A 16094-nucleotide genomic window follows, 5' to 3' on the forward strand; every position below is an offset into this window, starting at 1 on the left:
GTGTAGTATTAGTAGAGAGGGTGAAAAATTGACCAACAAACAGGCTAGACAATCCAGGAACAGAGGCATGCATTTATGGAAACTTGGTATGTAACAGTACGTCACACATAATACAGCAGGGGAAGGATAAACTATTCAATAAATGATGATCAGACAATTTGAAAAAAAAAAGGAGTTGGAGCCCCTTTTAGTATAATACATAAAAATCAACTTTGCACAATTTAAGGACTAATTGTTTTTTTTTTTTTAAACGGAGTCTGTCTCTGTCACCCAGGCTGGAGTGCAGTGGCACGATCTCGGTTCACTGCAACTTCTGCCTCCCAGGTTCACGTGATTCTCCTGCCTCAGCCTCTTGACTAGCTGGGACTACAGGCGTGTGCCACCACGACCAGCTATTTTTGTATTTTTAGTAGAGACGGGGTTTCGCCATGTTGGCCAGGCTGATGTCGAATTCCTGATCTCAGGTGATCTGCCCTCCTTGGCCTCCCAAAGTGCTGGGATTACAGGCATGAGCCACCATGCCTGGCCATTAAGTGTTTTTAATAGAAAAATTTTAAACTTCAAAAATAAAATTTGAGGCCAGGTACGGTGGCTCATAACTGTAATCCCAGCACCCTGGGAGGCTGAGGTGGGTGGATCACCTGAGGTCAGGAGTTCCAGACAAGTCGAGCCAACGTGGTGAAACCCCATCTCTATTAAAAATACAAAAATTAGCTGGGCGTGGTGGCTGGTGCCTGTAATCCCAGCTACTTGGGAGGCTGAGGCAGGAGAATCGCTTGAACGCGGGAGGTGGAGGTTGCAGTGAGCTGAGATCGCAAAACTGCACTCCAGCCTGGGCTACGAGAGTGAAACTCCGTCTGAAAATAAATAAATAAATAAAATAAAATAAAATTTGAAAATGCCTTTGTATTAGAGGAATTCTTAGAGACCAAAAAGTACAAATCATAATGGAAAGAATTTGATAAGTTCAAACATACTAAGATCGAGAACTACCATTCATTAAAAGGTCTCACAAAGAAAGGGAAATTACAAATCACAAACTGGGAAAAGATGTTATATAGACATAACCAACAAAATTTGAGTTCCACAATATGTGGAGAACTTTAAAAAAATCAATAGGAAAAAATCAAGTAATTTCATCAAAAAACCAGCACATTTAGCCAGGTGTGGTGGCCCGCACCTGTAGCCCCAGCTACTTGGGAGGCTAAGGTGGGAGAATACCTTGAGCCAGGAGGCTGAGGCTGCAGTGAGCCTGATTGTGCCACTGCACTCCAGCCCAGGCAACAGAGCAAGACCCTGTGTAAAAAAAAAATAAGGCCAGGTGTGGTGGCTCACTCACGCCTGTAATCCCAACACTTTGGGAGGCCGAGGCGGGCGGATCATCAGGTCAAGAGATTGAAACCATCCTGGCCAAAATGGTGAAACCCCGTATTTTTCTACTAAAAATACAAAATTAGCTGGGCGTGGTGGCACGTGCCTGTAGTCCCAGCTCCTCGGGAGGCTGAGGCAGGAGAATCGCTTGCACCAGGGAGGCGGAAGTTGCAGTGAGCCAAGATTGCACCACTGCACTCCAGCCTGGGCACAGAGCCAGACTCCGTCTCAAACAACAACAACATCAACAAAAGGCACAAGCCATGAATAAGCATTTCATAGAAGAGGAAACACAATTAGGAAATACACGTATGAAAAGGTGCTCAATCTGTTTTTTTTTTTTTTTTTTTTTTGAGACAGAGTCTTGCTCTGTCATCCAGGCTGGAGTGCAATGGTGTAATCTCGGCTTACTGCAACTTCCGCCTCCCAGACTAAAGCAACTTTCGTGCCTCAGCCTCCCAAGTAGCTGGGATTACAGGCAGGTGCCAGAACGCTGGCTAATTTTTTGAATTTTTAGTAGAGACGGGGTTTTGCCATGTTGGCTAGGCTGGTCTCGAACACCTAGCCTCAGTTGATCTGCCTGCCTCGACTGAGTGCTGAGATTACAGGTGTGATCCACCACACCCAACCTCAATCTCATTTATAATGAGGTAGGTGCAAATTACAACCACAATGAGGTACTATTTCACATCTACCAGATTGACAAACATTTTCAAAAGTAAAACACTCCTACATGTTGACAAGGTAGTGGAGCAGCAGGTCTTCTATACTGCTGGAAAATAATTTGGCATTATCAGGTAAGTGTGTAAATTAGCCATATTCTATGACATTTCATATATAACCTATGCAATATTATATCCATTGCATAAGAACATCATGATACAACAGACACATACTCATAGAAGCTTGATTTCTAAAAAGTAAAAGCAAATAAAGAAACCAAAGACCTGGAAATAATTTAAATGTTCATTGATAGGAGAATGGAAAGACAGTGGTGTACTCGTATCAAGAAATACTATATAACAATAAAACAGAATAAAAAAAGAATGAACTACAGTAACTTGCATCAACATTATTGAATCTTACAAATATGATGAACAAAAAATGAGCAGAAGAATGTATATATGTACACATAGTTCAAAAACTCAAAAACTAAATAATTTATTACAAACAGAAGGAAAACAAATACCTACAAATTTCAGAATAGAGAATACTTCAGTAGTAGAGAGATGTCATTTTGGAAGGGGCTTACTGGGGTCTTTAAAAGCATCAATAATGCTCTTTTATTTAAGTTAATGGTTTTAAGACAGATGTGTTTGTCTTTTCACAGACGTTTAGATTATGTATACTCTTTTGTATGCATGAAATATTTCATGATATAAAAATGTAGAAACAGACTGAACAAGAAAATGTAAAGTGTTTGTAGAGGTACTGGCAGTTTAAGAACTCAATAAATTCTAAGTACCATTTTTCATATGTAAGGAAAAAATCAACTACATGTATTTTTTTTTTTTTTTTTTTTTGAGACGGAGTCTCGCACTGCTGCCCAGGCTGGAGTGCAACTGTGCGATCTCGGCTCACTGCAACCTCCGCCTTCTGGGTTCAAGCGATTCTCCTGCCTCAGCCTCCGGAGTAGCTGGGATTACAGGCATGTGCCACCACGCCCGGCTAATTTTATGTTTTTAGTAGAGACAGAGTTTCTCCATGTTGGTCAGACTGGTCTTGAACCCCTGACCGCAGGTTATCCGCCCGCCCCGGCCTAACTACGTGGATTTTTGAAGGAAAAATAATCAGTGCTTTACAATCAAAATTAACGTGTAATCAAACAGGTAACAAAAAACTTTTTTTTTTTTTTTGGAGATGGAGTCTTGCTCTGTCGCTCAGGCAGGAGTGCAGTGGCGCGATCTTGGCTCACCGCAACCTCTGCCTCCCTAGTTCAAGCGATTCTCCTGCCTCAGCCTCTCGACTAGCTGGGACTACAGGTGTGCGCCACCACAACCGGCTAATTTTTATATTTTTAGTAGAGACGGGGTTCGCCAAGTTGACCAGGCTGGTCTCAAATTTCTGACCTCGGGTGATCCGCCCACTTCAGCCTCCCAAAGTGCTGGGATTACAGGCGTGAGCCACTGTACCTGACCAAGAAAAGGATTTATAGGCATTGATAGAGTGCCTTGAAGAAAGAGAAAGGCAAAGGATTCTATCCAGATTAAAAAAGAGATTCCCTGTAGGGTGGTAAAATGGCCTGGTTCCCCCCTCCCCAAAATAGCTATATGTATATATAGGCAAATGGGATTAAAAATAACCCTTGCAAATGGCGCTTATGTCCTAAACAGCACAAAAGCAGCAGGAAGCCACTAGATGTAAACAGGTTGCCTTGTAGACATGGATGAGCCTCTACCCCTACCACCCAGAAGCATCAAACTTGTTAAAACTGGGAATGAGTCTGGGCACAGCGGCTCATGCCTGTAATCCCAGCATTTTGGTAGCCTGAGGTGGGTGGCTCACTTGGGCTCAGGGGTTTAAGACCAGCCTGGACAACATGGTGAAAACCCATCTCTACAAAAAATACAAAAATTAGACGGACATGGTGGTGCACGACCATGGTCCCAGCTACTCAGGAGGCCGAGGTGGGAAGACGGTTTGAGCCCAGAAAGTAGACGCTGCAGTGAGCTGAGATCCTGACACTGCACTCCAGCCTGAGAGACGGAATGAGACTCTTTCTCAAAAACAAAAACAAACAAACAAAAACTGGGAATGAAGGAACTCCAAAATGTTCTCTACCAGTTTGGTAGATTTGGGGCTCTAAGTCACAAATTATATTACAGAAAGTATTTTAACTGGCAAAGCCTGAATTCATGTCACTACAATTGTTTTTCTCTCTCCAGAAATAATAAAAATAAATAAATTTGAGAAGATAGAGGTATTAAAAAAATCACTTTCATCCTGTAGAATTCCCCACAAATGGGCAAAATAAAAAATAACCCCCCAAAATCACTTTCCTTGCCCTTCTTTTTTTTTTTTTTTTTTTTTTGAGACGGAGTCTTGCTCTGTCATCAGGCTGGAATGCAGTGGCACGATCTCAGCTCACTGCAACCTCTGCCTCGCAGGTTCAAGTGATTCTCCCGAGTAACTGGGACTACAGGAGCACGCCACCACACCCAGCTAATTTTTGTATTTTTAGTACAGACGGGGTTTCACCATGTTGGTCAGGATGCTCTCAATCTCTTGAACTTGTGATCTGCCCATCTCAGCCTCCCAAAGTGCTGGGATTACAGGCGTGAGCCACCACGCCCAGCCCTTGCCCTTTATTTTCCAGGTATTTTTATTTTTTTATAATGTGGAATGTTTCCCGAATTTGTGTGTCTTCCTAGTGCAGGGGCCATGCTAATCTTCTCTGTATCATTCCCATTTTAGTATATGTGCTGCCAAAGCAAGCACAATTTTCTAGGTATTATTATTTGGGGGAAATTTAATCTCATCAGCAAATCCTAACAAGACTGCTTTTTCTTTTCCTTCTTTTTGCCAGCTACCGTATATCTGCAATATTTTTTCAAACTTGTCTCATCTCAATGTACAGATACAGTGCTATTCTCCATATCGGGATTTTTGTAAGCCTACCTCTATTGTGGGAGTGGACCACACAGGGGCTTGGCTGCATGACTAGCTTTGGCCAGTGGGACATTAGAAAACGTGATGCAGGCCGGGTGCGGTGGCTCACACCTGTAATCCCAGCATTTTGGGAGGCCGAGGCAGGTGGATCACTTGAGGTCAGGAGTTGGAGACCAGCCTGGCCAACATGGTGAAATGTCATCTCTACTAAAAATAGAAAAATTAGCCCGGTGTGGTGGCGCGCACCTATACTCTCAGCTACTAAGGAGGCTGACGTGGAAGAATTGTTTGAACTCAGGGGACAGGGGCTGCAGTGAGCTGAGACCACGCACTGCACTCCAGCCTGGGTGACAGGGTGGGGCTCAGTCTCAAAAAAAAAAAAAAAAAAAAAAAGAAAAGAAAATGTGATGCAAGCAGAACTTCCATAAGCACTTGCACACTGGAGCCTTTTCTTTTGGAACGCTGTGACAACCAAGTAAGAAGCCAAGTTATGCTATTAGAGATGCCTACTAGAGGAAAATTGATGCGCTCCAACCAACAGCCTTAGCTAATTGCCAGCCATGTGAGTGAGGCCATTGTGAGCCATCCAGCCTTGGTGAAGCTACCAGGTGATTGCAGCTGTTGAAGTGATCTCAAGTGAGACCAGCAGAAGATCTCTTCAGCTGAGCTTAGCCCAAATTGTCGATCACAAGCAAATAAATGATTCCTCTTTAAGCCACTAAGTTATTTTTATTTTTAAAAATATAAAGCTACGTATTGATCGCCATTCAGCAGTATCTGCAAGAAAGTAAGCAATACACACTCAGGTAACAACATTCTTATTACTATAGTGTTATTGTTTTTCCTGGCTTCTTCTGAACCAGTAACCTAAATAGTGAAATGATTGAGCCTACATGTAATGAATGGGTTGAGGTAAAGAAAAAGCATGCAAGTCAAGAGTTTACATTGCAATTGTTCACCCATGTATGCCACCAGGTCTCAAACAGCAACATCTCTAACCATCTATTTAGTTTCATGAGCAAAGACATTCCATGAATTATGACCTTTTGGCCAATATAGCATAAGATTTTCAACTTTTTGTAAAGAAATGGCTCTTTAGAAGGAACCTTTAAATGCCCACTTAGCTAAGCCTTGCTTGGCTAATTAAAACACACCAGTATTGGGCTGAGAGTGGTGGTTTATGTCTGCAATCCCAGCACTTTGGGAGGCTGAGGTGGAAGGATCGCTCAAGGCCAAGAGTTAGAGCAGCTTGGAAAAGAAAGCAAGACCCTGTCTCTACAAAGAAATTTTAAAATTAGCTGGGTGTGGTGGCATATGTCTGTAGTCCTAGCTACTTGCGAGGCTGAGGCGGAAGGATTGCTTGAACCCAGGAGTTCAAGGCTGCAGTTAGCTATAATTGTACCACTGCACACCGTCCTTGGCAACATAACAAGACCCTGTCTCAAAAAAAAAAAAAAAAAGCCACATCAGTATCTGTCTGGTTTCCTCATCTGAGTGCAGAGGTTGTTGGTGATAAAATTTCTCCTTTTAGAAGGTTTTGCAAATAAACTGTTGCTTTTATATGACTATAGCTATAGACATTATGGACTCTGACCTGGCTTTTTTTTTTTTTTTTTTTTGAGACGGAGTTTTGCTCTTATTGCCCAGGCTGGAGTGCAATGGTGCAATCTCAGCTCACCACAACCTCCGCCTCCTGGGTTCAAGTGATTTTCCTGCCTCAGCCTCCCAAGTAGCTAAGATTACAGGCATGCACCACCATGCCCAGCTAATTTTGTATTTTTAGTGGAGATGGGGTTTCTCCATGTTGGTCAGGCTAGTCTTGAACTCCCAACCTCAGGTGATCCGCCCGCCTGGCCTCCCAAAGTGCTGGGATTACAGGCATGAGCCGCCGTGCCCGGCTCTGATTTGGCTTCTTTAAATTGTCCAATTTAAATTGTTTACATTGTATTTAACTTGGCCAACTAATTACAAATTATTCAATTTGAAACATTGTGGCTTTAGGTAAAATTTTAACTTAAGATGATCTATTCTTTGGGCTGCTTAGAACGATGGCATTCCAGAAGAAAACTTGAATTTACCCATGATTGTGAAATGCTATTTCTTAGTTCATGTAAAATAAAAAACAAAACCACAACTATGTACATGTATATTTACATATGCACAAACAAACAAAAATTCAGAATAGCCTTAGGCATTATAGGTTAAACACAAGTTATGATTGAGTAATGATTATGGAAAATGTTCCCAACATTTAGAAAAGAGGAAATAATATACCATGGAACCAAATATTCTTTTCTGGTAAATGAAGCAGCTACAGAAAGCTTTTCCTACTTGTTCAAAAGTAACAAGTGCTATTGATGAAAAAAACCCCAACAAATACCCAAAACAAACAAACCCCAAAAACTCTTTTGATTCTACTTCAAAACAAGATTTTGCAGTAGAAAATAGATTTCATTAGAAAATAGCTGGCCAGGCAGGGTGGCTCACGTCTGTAGTCCCAGCACTTTTGGGAAGCCAAGGCAGGAGGATCACTTGAGCCCAGAGTTTGAGACCAACCTGGGCAACATAGTGAGACTCTATCTCTATTTTTTTAAAAATAGAGTATTTCACACTAATAAGAAAATCAAGACCTAGGTTTTACACACACACACACTATATGGCAGTATACTGCAGTGCAACAATTTTTGAGTTTCATTTTCTGGACAGGAATGCCAAGTTAGTCTCTCTTCATAAAAATAATTTGCAATTTGAGGACACTTCGTGTTTGCCCCTTTGCGTTTGCCTCTTTGCCAGCACCAAGTCAGCCTCGTCTGAGTCTTTGCATTCCATTAGAAACATTAATTCTTCACTGCAGTCTGTGGCACCAATTCTTTGCTTAGGATCAAGAGTTCTGGCAAAGTCTCCTGGTTTTTCAGCAGCATCCCTTTCATTTGCTGTCATCAGATTCACTCTCGGATAAAGATTTTCTTTTTGTACTATCTTTTCCTTTACCAGTTTTTTTGAGGATTAAGAAATAGTTCAATGAACTCAGGAAAATCTAAGTTTTCTTCAGGTTCTCAATTATTGTCAGCAAGTGTAAATCCTTTCCGCTTCAGGGAATATTCCACCTTCCCATTCACCACACCTTGGTGTAGTACTTTTTCCACCACAAAATCCTCAGGCTCTGCTTCATCAGCTTTTATACCCTTTCCACTAAGTCTTTTGTCCCATTTTTTTGCAATGTACAGTGGCCCTCAGTATCCTCGGGTTCCGCATTCCTGGATTCTATCAACCGAGGATAGAACATATTTTAAAATCACAATAAAACAAAAAAATACAAATGAAAAACAATACAGTATAACAACCATTTACATAGCATTTATATTGCATTAGGTATTATAAGTAATCTAGGATGTATGTAGGTTATATGCAAATACTTCGCTCTTTTATATGAGGGACTTGAGCAGCCTTGGATTTTCCTATCCATGGGGGTCCCGGTCCAGAAACCAATTTCCCAAGGATACCAAAGGACGACTGTAGTTTTACTGGAGGCCATTTTTAATTGCAGACATGAAGAGCTATTGTTCACCATCTCGTTCACCATCTCTGAGCTGCACCTGGTCTGGGTCTGTGGCATCTCAAATCCTGCCTGACTCAAACTTGAGCTACATGCAAGGAAGAAGGGAATGGGGAACTTCTTCAGGGGCCACTAAGTTTTGGGGAAGTTCGTTATGTAGCAATAAATAACTGATACAAGGCCACTTAAATATTTTACTCTGTAGTAAGATAGCTAATTAACAAAAACTAAGAGTCAATTGAAGAGAACTCATTAAGGAAGTGGGTCATTTCAAACGCTTTTATTTACTTGTGATGACAATTAAATAAAGAACAAACTCGTCATCTTTCTTTGATGAAAAAATTGTTTGATATTCTGAGAACAAAAGTGATGCCATACTGCCATTAAGAAACTGATTCAGACTCGATCTCTCAACAAGGTAAGACATCAATGTTCCCATCAAGAGCTGCCCATAATACTGCAGTACACTTCTCTGGCACCATTAAAAAAAAAATCTCTTAGAGATGATCCTGAAATCTCTTCTAAAGACATGAAAGAGGTGTGCTTGTATAATCTGGTATTACAAAGAAATGAGAAATTGCCCTGATGACGAATCTCCAGCTCTAATCTCAATTTGCTGAAGTAGAGAGGCAATTCATCTTACCCATTAACTAAGAATTAGAAAAACAATTTGTGTTTTTCTTTGAGTCATTTAACTCAAATACCACTATATAAAGGAATAGAATGAGACATTCGCATGAATTTGAAAGGTAAATAAAACATCAGACTTCAAAGAAATTCCATTAGAATCGGGGGTTACTTTTTTGTTTTCTTTTCCTCCACCTCCACCTTAAGGAACATGAACGGCATTTGGCCACAGTTTATGTCTTTCCAATTTTATCTTCCACCATCTACCGCTCAGTTCTCCTCACTTCCAGCCAAACAATGTATGTTCCCCAAACACGCCTTCACAATTTCGTTCTAGTTGGTGTCTACCTCTAGTATATGTGTAGTCAATTTATACACACATTCCCCACGATCTTGAAACGTCTTGACATCCACAAGCAAATCTAGGTTTCTAACATAACACTAACTTTGTAAGTCTGTCCATATAAGGTTTTAGCAAACCTAGTAAAACAGAAAACGCACTATTATCCAGGCTTATATTCTGAGATTTGAAAAACCCCTCTATCTGCTACCTTTGGGTTTCTGAATTTACATACCACTCTCAAGTATACAGTATTCACGATTTCTAAGAACTGGAGAGTAAACCTAGTCCTCTAACAATGGCATTTTATTTGTTGAGTTAGGGCACTACCTGCCCACGATGAGGATAGTTAATGAAACGCTGCCCGGTAACGACGATTAAAGGCTTTGATTGAAAACGTATTAGGCCTTAAGAATTTTGCGAACATCTAATTTAACCCTAGTAACTGTGGCGTGGGTTCTTTCAGAATTTACACGCACGTGGGAGACCGCGAAGCGCAGGCAGCGTTAAAACTAGGGCGCTGGAGTCACCCCCGTACCCCGAATGCCGTCGGCGCTCCAGGGCCCCCAGAGGGTGCGGGGGGCGGGGACGCTGTGACGTCACAGAGCGCCCTTCTGACGTTCTCACGGACCCGCTTTGCCTCGGGGGCCCACGCTGGAGCCCACCCAGTACTACTAAGAAATGAGGAGGAAAAAGGGGCGCCGGCTCTCGTAGCGCCTATTTTCTCGGCAGAGGGACCCACGTGCTCGCTTTGGTGGACTCTGCGCCCGGCGAGTACCGCCGGCCTGAAGCTTCCCGCCGCCGCGTCCACGCGACCCAGCCAGAGAGGGCTCAGTCAGCCGGCGCGGCACCTACAAGCTCAGTCGGGATCCTGGAGAGGCGGGAAGGCAGCGGGGCCCTTTCCACAGAGAGAACACAGCTCTTCGGGAGATTCCCCCGCTGCCCCCGAGCCCTGCTCTCCCGCCTCGGCCTCTGAGGACTACCCGCAGGGCGCAGGCAGCCGCGAAAGACTCAGCCTCCTTCCAACTTCGCGAGGGCCGAGGGGGCGGGCCCCGGGCGCGCGCGCGGCGAAGCCCCGCCCCTGCCCGCGCGGCCTGCTGGATTCGCCCCGCCCCTCGCTGTCGCCCGCCGCCCGCCACCCGCCACCGCTCTTCCTCCTGCGCCACAGTCCCGGCGGCGGCGCTGGTCGCGGGTCGCACCGTGAGGCTCGCGTGGGCGGCGATAGGCGCTGGGCCCGGGCCCGGTGAGGAGCGCGCCGCGCGTCCCCTTCTCCTCAGGAGTGGCGGGCCGCGGAAGTGACGTGGTGCACGGGCAGGAGCGCGTTTGAATCGGTTCCCGGGTGATCCTCGCGCCTGCCGCTGCTCGGCCGCCGCCGCTGACGAGGAGCTGCAGCGCGCCGGGCCGAGGCCTCGAGCCGCCCCGGGAGCTGGAGCTGAAGGCGCCGCGCGGAGCGCGCACCTCAGCCCTGAGCCCGGCGGCGGCAGGCGTCGCTGTCTTTTCTCCTTTTCCCCAATATGGCAGCGGCGGACGGCGGCGGGCCTGGTGGGGCCTCTGTGGGGACTGAGGAGGATGGCGGAGGCGTCGGCCACAGGACGGTGTACTTGTTTGATCGGCGCGAAAAGGAGTCCGAGCTCGGGGACCGGCCTCTGCAGGTCGGGGAGCGCTCGGACTACGCGGGATTTCGCGCGTGTGTGTGTCAGGTACGCGAAGGGGCGAGGAAGGGATGCGCGTGTAGACTTGGGGGCGGGAGGGTGATGAGAAACTCAACTTGCTCACTGAGGGCAATAAACCTGTCACCCGGTCCCGGTCCTGCGGCCTTGGCTTCCCTCTCCCGTGTGCCCGCCATGTCCGTGACCTGGTGGCCGGACGCCTCGGGCGGGCCCTGGCCCGGGCCTCGAAGTGCAGGGCCGGCTCCCCCGTGGCCCTCCCTCTGCCTCCGCTCCTTTTACGGGAGGCCTTGCCGGCCCGGGTGGAGAGCTCAGCGTTTGTTGGCCCTGGGCGAGCTTAGCCCGGTTGCGGCCCTGCAGTCTAGGGAAAGCCGTTGGTGGTGTCTGTTTTTACTTTGTAACTTTTTTAAAACGAGAGAAGGGAGTTAACGCCCAGGGGCTCTGTTGTGAGTGTTGCGACGGTGGGAAGTTGTGAAATGCCCGGAGTCATCTCCCCCAAGTTCATTAGATGATGCGGGGTGTCCCCGGGTTGCCCTGTCGAGGTTGCAGGTCCTTCTGGGGCGGGGCGGCGGGGGGGATCCTTCCGCACGGAGACACTTGTCCAGGTCAGCTCTGCAGGTAGAGCTGGCCTTCTGCCTGTCTGAGCCCTAACCCTTGGGAATTTCCAAACCAAGTCAAAGGTTGGTATGGGTGGCTGTGGAGCACCAGAAAACGTACCTACCCCGTGTATTGGTTCGCTTTGAAAATGAACGTGGAGGGAAATCCGCTTTAAACTGTGATGTACTTTATAGATATGAGGTGGTGGCATTGCCTGAGCTTTGAAGAAGGAATATTGTCATGCTCTGAATTAACCATATGAGGTCCCTTTTTAAGCTGTTAAGAACACTTAGCGTCCAAGGGAAAAAAAGAACTTTGAAGCCGTGTTTTGTCGTGAGGCTGATAGGTTTAGAAATGTTCTAGACCATATAACTGTATGGTTGCTGAAATAATTGAAATCGTGATCCGTAGAATGAAAACGATTGGAGAAGTAAGGACTTTCTTTTGTTCACAGCTGTAGTCCCAGCGTCTAGAACTGTGCCTGCGACATTGTAAATGCCCAGATTAGAATGGATAAATGAATGAAGACAAAAACCTATCCCCTCAAGTTAATTCTGTGCCTGAACGTAGTAGATTCCCGTTGTGTTTGAAAAGTGAATGAATGCTCATCTTTTTTGTTGAATGCTTTCTATTCAGAACCATTCTACAAAAGGGAAACTTTTTACGTTTATTGTGTTTATAGTAAAAATATCAGTACATTAAAGAAAATATGGAACCAGAGGGGGGAAACAAGTAAATCTTTTACTCGCTGTAAAACTACTATATGACTACTCTTAGCACCTGAGGTTATGTCTTTTCAGCCTTCCTCCTCCTTCCCACTCCATTTTTTAAATTACTAAAATATGTGTTTTATATTCTATTAATTTTTTCACTTAATAGTGTCAGAAGTTTCTTTAAACGTAGGTCTTCAAATCAAAATTTGAAATGGTCCATTTGCTACCACTATTTACATAACCGAATCTCTCCTTTCTGTTGACATTTACATTACTTTTAATTTTTTTGATTTTAAGTAATGCTGTAATAAACATTTTCCCAGGCCCAAATATTCCCGGGCTCAGGTGATCCTCCCACCTCAGCCTCCCAAGTAGCCAGGACTACAGGTGAGCGCCACCATGCCCAGCTATGTTTTTTTTTTTTCGTATTTTTCGTACATACGGGGGTTTGGCTGTGTTGCCCAGGCTAGTCTCGAGCTCCTGGGCTCAAGAGATCCACCCGCCTCCCAAAGTGCTGGGATTACTGGCGTGAGCCACTGCACCCAGTGGAAAAACATCTTTGAATACATAGCCGTTTATGTCTTTTATTATTGTTTGCTTAGTTTGAAATCTTAGAACTGGATCAAAGATGAGATACATCTTTAAAGCTCTTGTTTCGTATTTTAAAATTGCTTTTTGAAAATGTTTTGCTACTTTACCCTTCCTCTAGAAATGCACTATTTCCCTCTCGTGAGATGTCTCAGTAACTCTTAGATAAATAGAGGAAGTATTATTGGCCTTTTATTACAGAAGTATAAACACAGTCGTGGAAATGGTGACTCATTACTCAGATAGTAAAGCTCAAGTTAGTATTCAAACCCAGAACCTCTGTTCATTCTGTTATACTACTCAAATGGCATTCTTTGCTGTAGGGAACAGATGTATTTATTCCTTCCTTCAATATTTCAACTGGAAAACCAAGGAAAATATTTCTTTTAACTAATTCTGTTCCTCCTTCCTCCCACTTTATCCTGCTAGAAAACGTTTTAAATTTAGTTAGAAATGAGAGGGACCAACTAGTAAGAAAAAAGAAGGCTGAGAAGGCTAACTTTTTTGTTGTTAGACTTCTTTTAAGCATTATTAGATTGTGCCTCGGATCCCATAACTTTGTCTCCATTACGTACTCGAAGAACTGAATTAAGTCAGTGAATTAATAATCTGAGATTACATGGTCAACAAGCAGTGAAACTGGGATTGGAATTTAGGTCAATTTGATTCCAAAGCTTATGTATACATATACATATATATGTGTGTGTGTATATATATGTATATGTATATATACATATATATACACACATACACACATATATACACATATATACGTGTATACGCATATATACATATATACACATATATACACATATATATACACACACATATATATATTTTTTACACTACTCCACACTATTTATTAGAACCATCACTTTTGTCCTTAGGGGAAGAGACAAAATAATATACTAAAGTTTTTGTTAAAATGTAAATTAAACCAATAAATGTTTGTAGTGTCAGGCAGTATTATGGGTGATCCTAAACTGTTACTTATTTATTTATTTTTTTTGAGACGGAGTCTCGCTCTGTTGCCCGGGCTGGAGTGCAGTGGTGCCATCTTGGCTTACTGCAACCTCTGCCACCCAGGTTCAAGTGATTCTCCTGCCTCGGCCTCTTGAGTAGCTGGGATTACAGGTGCCTGCCACCACGCCTGGCTAATTTTAATACTTTTAGTAGAGATGGGGTTTTGCCATGTTGGCCAGGCTGATCTTGAACTCCTGACCTCAGGTGGTCCACCTGCCTTGGCCTCCCAAAGTGCTGGGAATACAGGCATGAGCCACCACGCCCAGCTCTAAATTGTTATTTGAATAAAGTTCACCTCATGGAAAAGGAGAGGGAAGAAATGGAAAGGACAAATCTGCAAGAAGCCCTTAGACCTCTGATAAGCAGCTGTTGACTCACCTGAGCCCTTGTGGCCTTGCAGAATCAACGATTAGAAGATGACTCATTTGGTTAGTTCTAAAATATGCCCAGATGTTAAGTCCCATGTGTGCATATCCCCCCACCACCAATTTGAAGAAATTGTCTACATTTTCCTTTGTGTGGCTCCAATGTTTTTTGTTGTGCGGCTATTCTAGGTGTTTTGTATTTTAATATAAGATGTGCTCATCAATTTCTACAATAAACTTGAGATTTTGAAAAAAAAAAAAAAAAAAAGCAGAAAACTATGGCTTAGCAAGTGCCATAGTAAGGTAACGAAATATAATGGAGCCACATTAAAAGCTGACTAGTTTGCAGAGTTTCAGAGCAGTGCTAATTAAGCTGTGTGCTTTCTGACTAATCCATGGATGAAAATTACCTGTTGTTCAGAGATAGTGAAAAAATAATTTTAAAAATAAAATTAACTGATCATTTTGGTAGGTAATCATTTTATGCACTGCAAGTCAGTTAGTCCTTAAATATTTAAGAGAAGTTGGGGACGGCATAGTGGCTTACACCTGTAATCCCAACACTTCGGGAGGCCAAGGCGGGCGGATCACCTGAGGTCAGGAGTTAGAGATCAGCTTGGCCAACATGGTGAAACCCCGTCTCTACTAAAAATACAAATATTAGCTGGATCTGGTGGCGGGTGCCTGTAATCCCAGCTACTCGAGAGGCTGAGGCAGGGAGAATTACTTGAACCCGGGAGTCGGAAGTTGCAGCGAGCTGAGAACGCACCGCTGCACTCTAGCCTGGGTGGCAGAGCGAGACTCTTGTCTCAAAAAACAAACAAACAATAATAAAATAAAATACTTAGAAAAATTGTGAATTCAAGAAATAATTTTTATAGATGAAGCAGGGAAAACAAAAAGATAGTTTATGTGTCTTAATTAAATAATAATAAATTTATAGATTAAAAATCCATGGTTTTTTTTTTTTTTTTTTTGATGGGAGTTTCACTCTTGTCACCCAGGCTGGAGTGCAGTGGCGCAATCTTGGCTCACTGCAACCTCCGCCTCCCAAGTTCCAGCGATTCTCCTGCTTCAGCCTTCCAAATAGCTGGGATTACAGGCACCAGCCGTCATGCCCGGCTAATTTTTGTATTTTTAGTAGAGATGGGATTTTACCATGTTGGCCAGGGTGGTCTGGAACTCCTGACCTCAGGTGATCGATCTACCCACCTCGGCCTCCAAAAGTGCTGGGATTACAGGCATGCGCCACCATGCCCCCTGGAAAATCCATGGATATTTAATATGGATGAAAAATCCATGGATATTTCATATGGATTTTTGATGTGGATTAAAAACCATGGATTTTTAATATGGATTAATTTTAAAGTTTATTGCAGCACTATTTACAATAGTAAAGACGTGGGACCAACACAAATGCCTATTGATGATCAACTGGATAAAGATAATGTGGCACATATACACCATGGAATACTATGCAGCCATAAAAAAGAATGAGATCATGTCCTTTGCAGGGACGTGGATGAAGCTGGAAGCCATCATTCTCAGCAAACTAACACAGGAACAGAAAACCAAACACTGCATGTTCTCACTCATAAGTGGGAGTTGAACAATGAGAACACATGAACATAGGGCGGG

The 16094-nt window shown here is 43.7% G+C and overlaps 1 protein-coding gene and 2 pseudogenes across 10 annotated transcripts in view, besides 4 other annotated features; 1 reads left to right on the plus strand and 2 right to left on the minus strand.

Moving 5' to 3' along the window:
* Nucleotides 4706-4809, minus strand: RNU6-340P (RNA, U6 small nuclear 340, pseudogene; annotated as a pseudogene).
* Nucleotides 7112-10337, minus strand: CBX3P2 (CBX3 pseudogene 2; annotated as a pseudogene). Its single transcript, NR_033754.2, has 2 exons — nucleotides 10042-10337; nucleotides 7112-8244 (listed from the first exon to the last, which is right to left on the minus strand). The product of NR_033754.2 is annotated as a CBX3 pseudogene 2 (transcript).
* Nucleotides 8847-9476: an enhancer, noted in NCBI's record as "OCT4-NANOG hESC enhancer chr18:2653904-2654533 (GRCh37/hg19 assembly coordinates)". NCBI's record gives its function as "activates a minimal SCP1, AML or CMV promoter by ChIP-STARR-seq in naive H9 embryonic stem cells {active_cell/tissue: H9 hESC(naive)}" and the evidence as "EXISTENCE:reporter gene assay evidence [ECO:0000049][PMID:30033119]".
* Nucleotides 10511-10960: a silencer, noted in NCBI's record as "silent region_9246". NCBI's record gives its function as "represses an Ori minimal core promoter by ATAC-STARR-seq in GM12878 lymphoblastoid cells {active_cell/tissue: GM12878}" and the evidence as "EXISTENCE:reporter gene assay evidence [ECO:0000049][PMID:35858748]".
* SMCHD1 (structural maintenance of chromosomes flexible hinge domain containing 1) overlaps nucleotides 10668-16094 on the plus strand; it is a 149292-nt gene continuing 143865 nt past the window's right edge. For all 9 annotated transcript variants that reach the window (XR_001753172.2, XR_935055.3, XR_007066135.1 and 6 more), the window contains exon 1: nucleotides 10668-11203. Coding sequence is in view for 5 of the 9 variants with exons in the window: in XM_011525642.2 (XP_011523944.1) it covers nucleotides 11018-11203 (186 nt within the window). In the remaining 4 variants the exon portion in view is untranslated. The remainder of the gene's footprint in view (nucleotides 11204-16094) is intronic.
* Nucleotides 11191-11370: a silencer, noted in NCBI's record as "silent region_9247". NCBI's record gives its function as "represses an Ori minimal core promoter by ATAC-STARR-seq in GM12878 lymphoblastoid cells {active_cell/tissue: GM12878}" and the evidence as "EXISTENCE:reporter gene assay evidence [ECO:0000049][PMID:35858748]".
* Nucleotides 14312-14606: a silencer, noted in NCBI's record as "tiled region #12050; HepG2 Repressive DNase unmatched - State 8:EnhW". NCBI's record gives its function as "represses a minimal TATA promoter and a strong SV40 promoter by Sharpr-MPRA in HepG2 cells {active_cell/tissue: HepG2}" and the evidence as "EXISTENCE:reporter gene assay evidence [ECO:0000049][PMID:27701403]".

This window comes from Homo sapiens, chromosome 18, assembly GCF_000001405.40.
Source record: "Homo sapiens chromosome 18, GRCh38.p14 Primary Assembly".
NCBI classification, from domain to species: domain Eukaryota; kingdom Metazoa; phylum Chordata; class Mammalia; order Primates; family Hominidae; genus Homo; species Homo sapiens.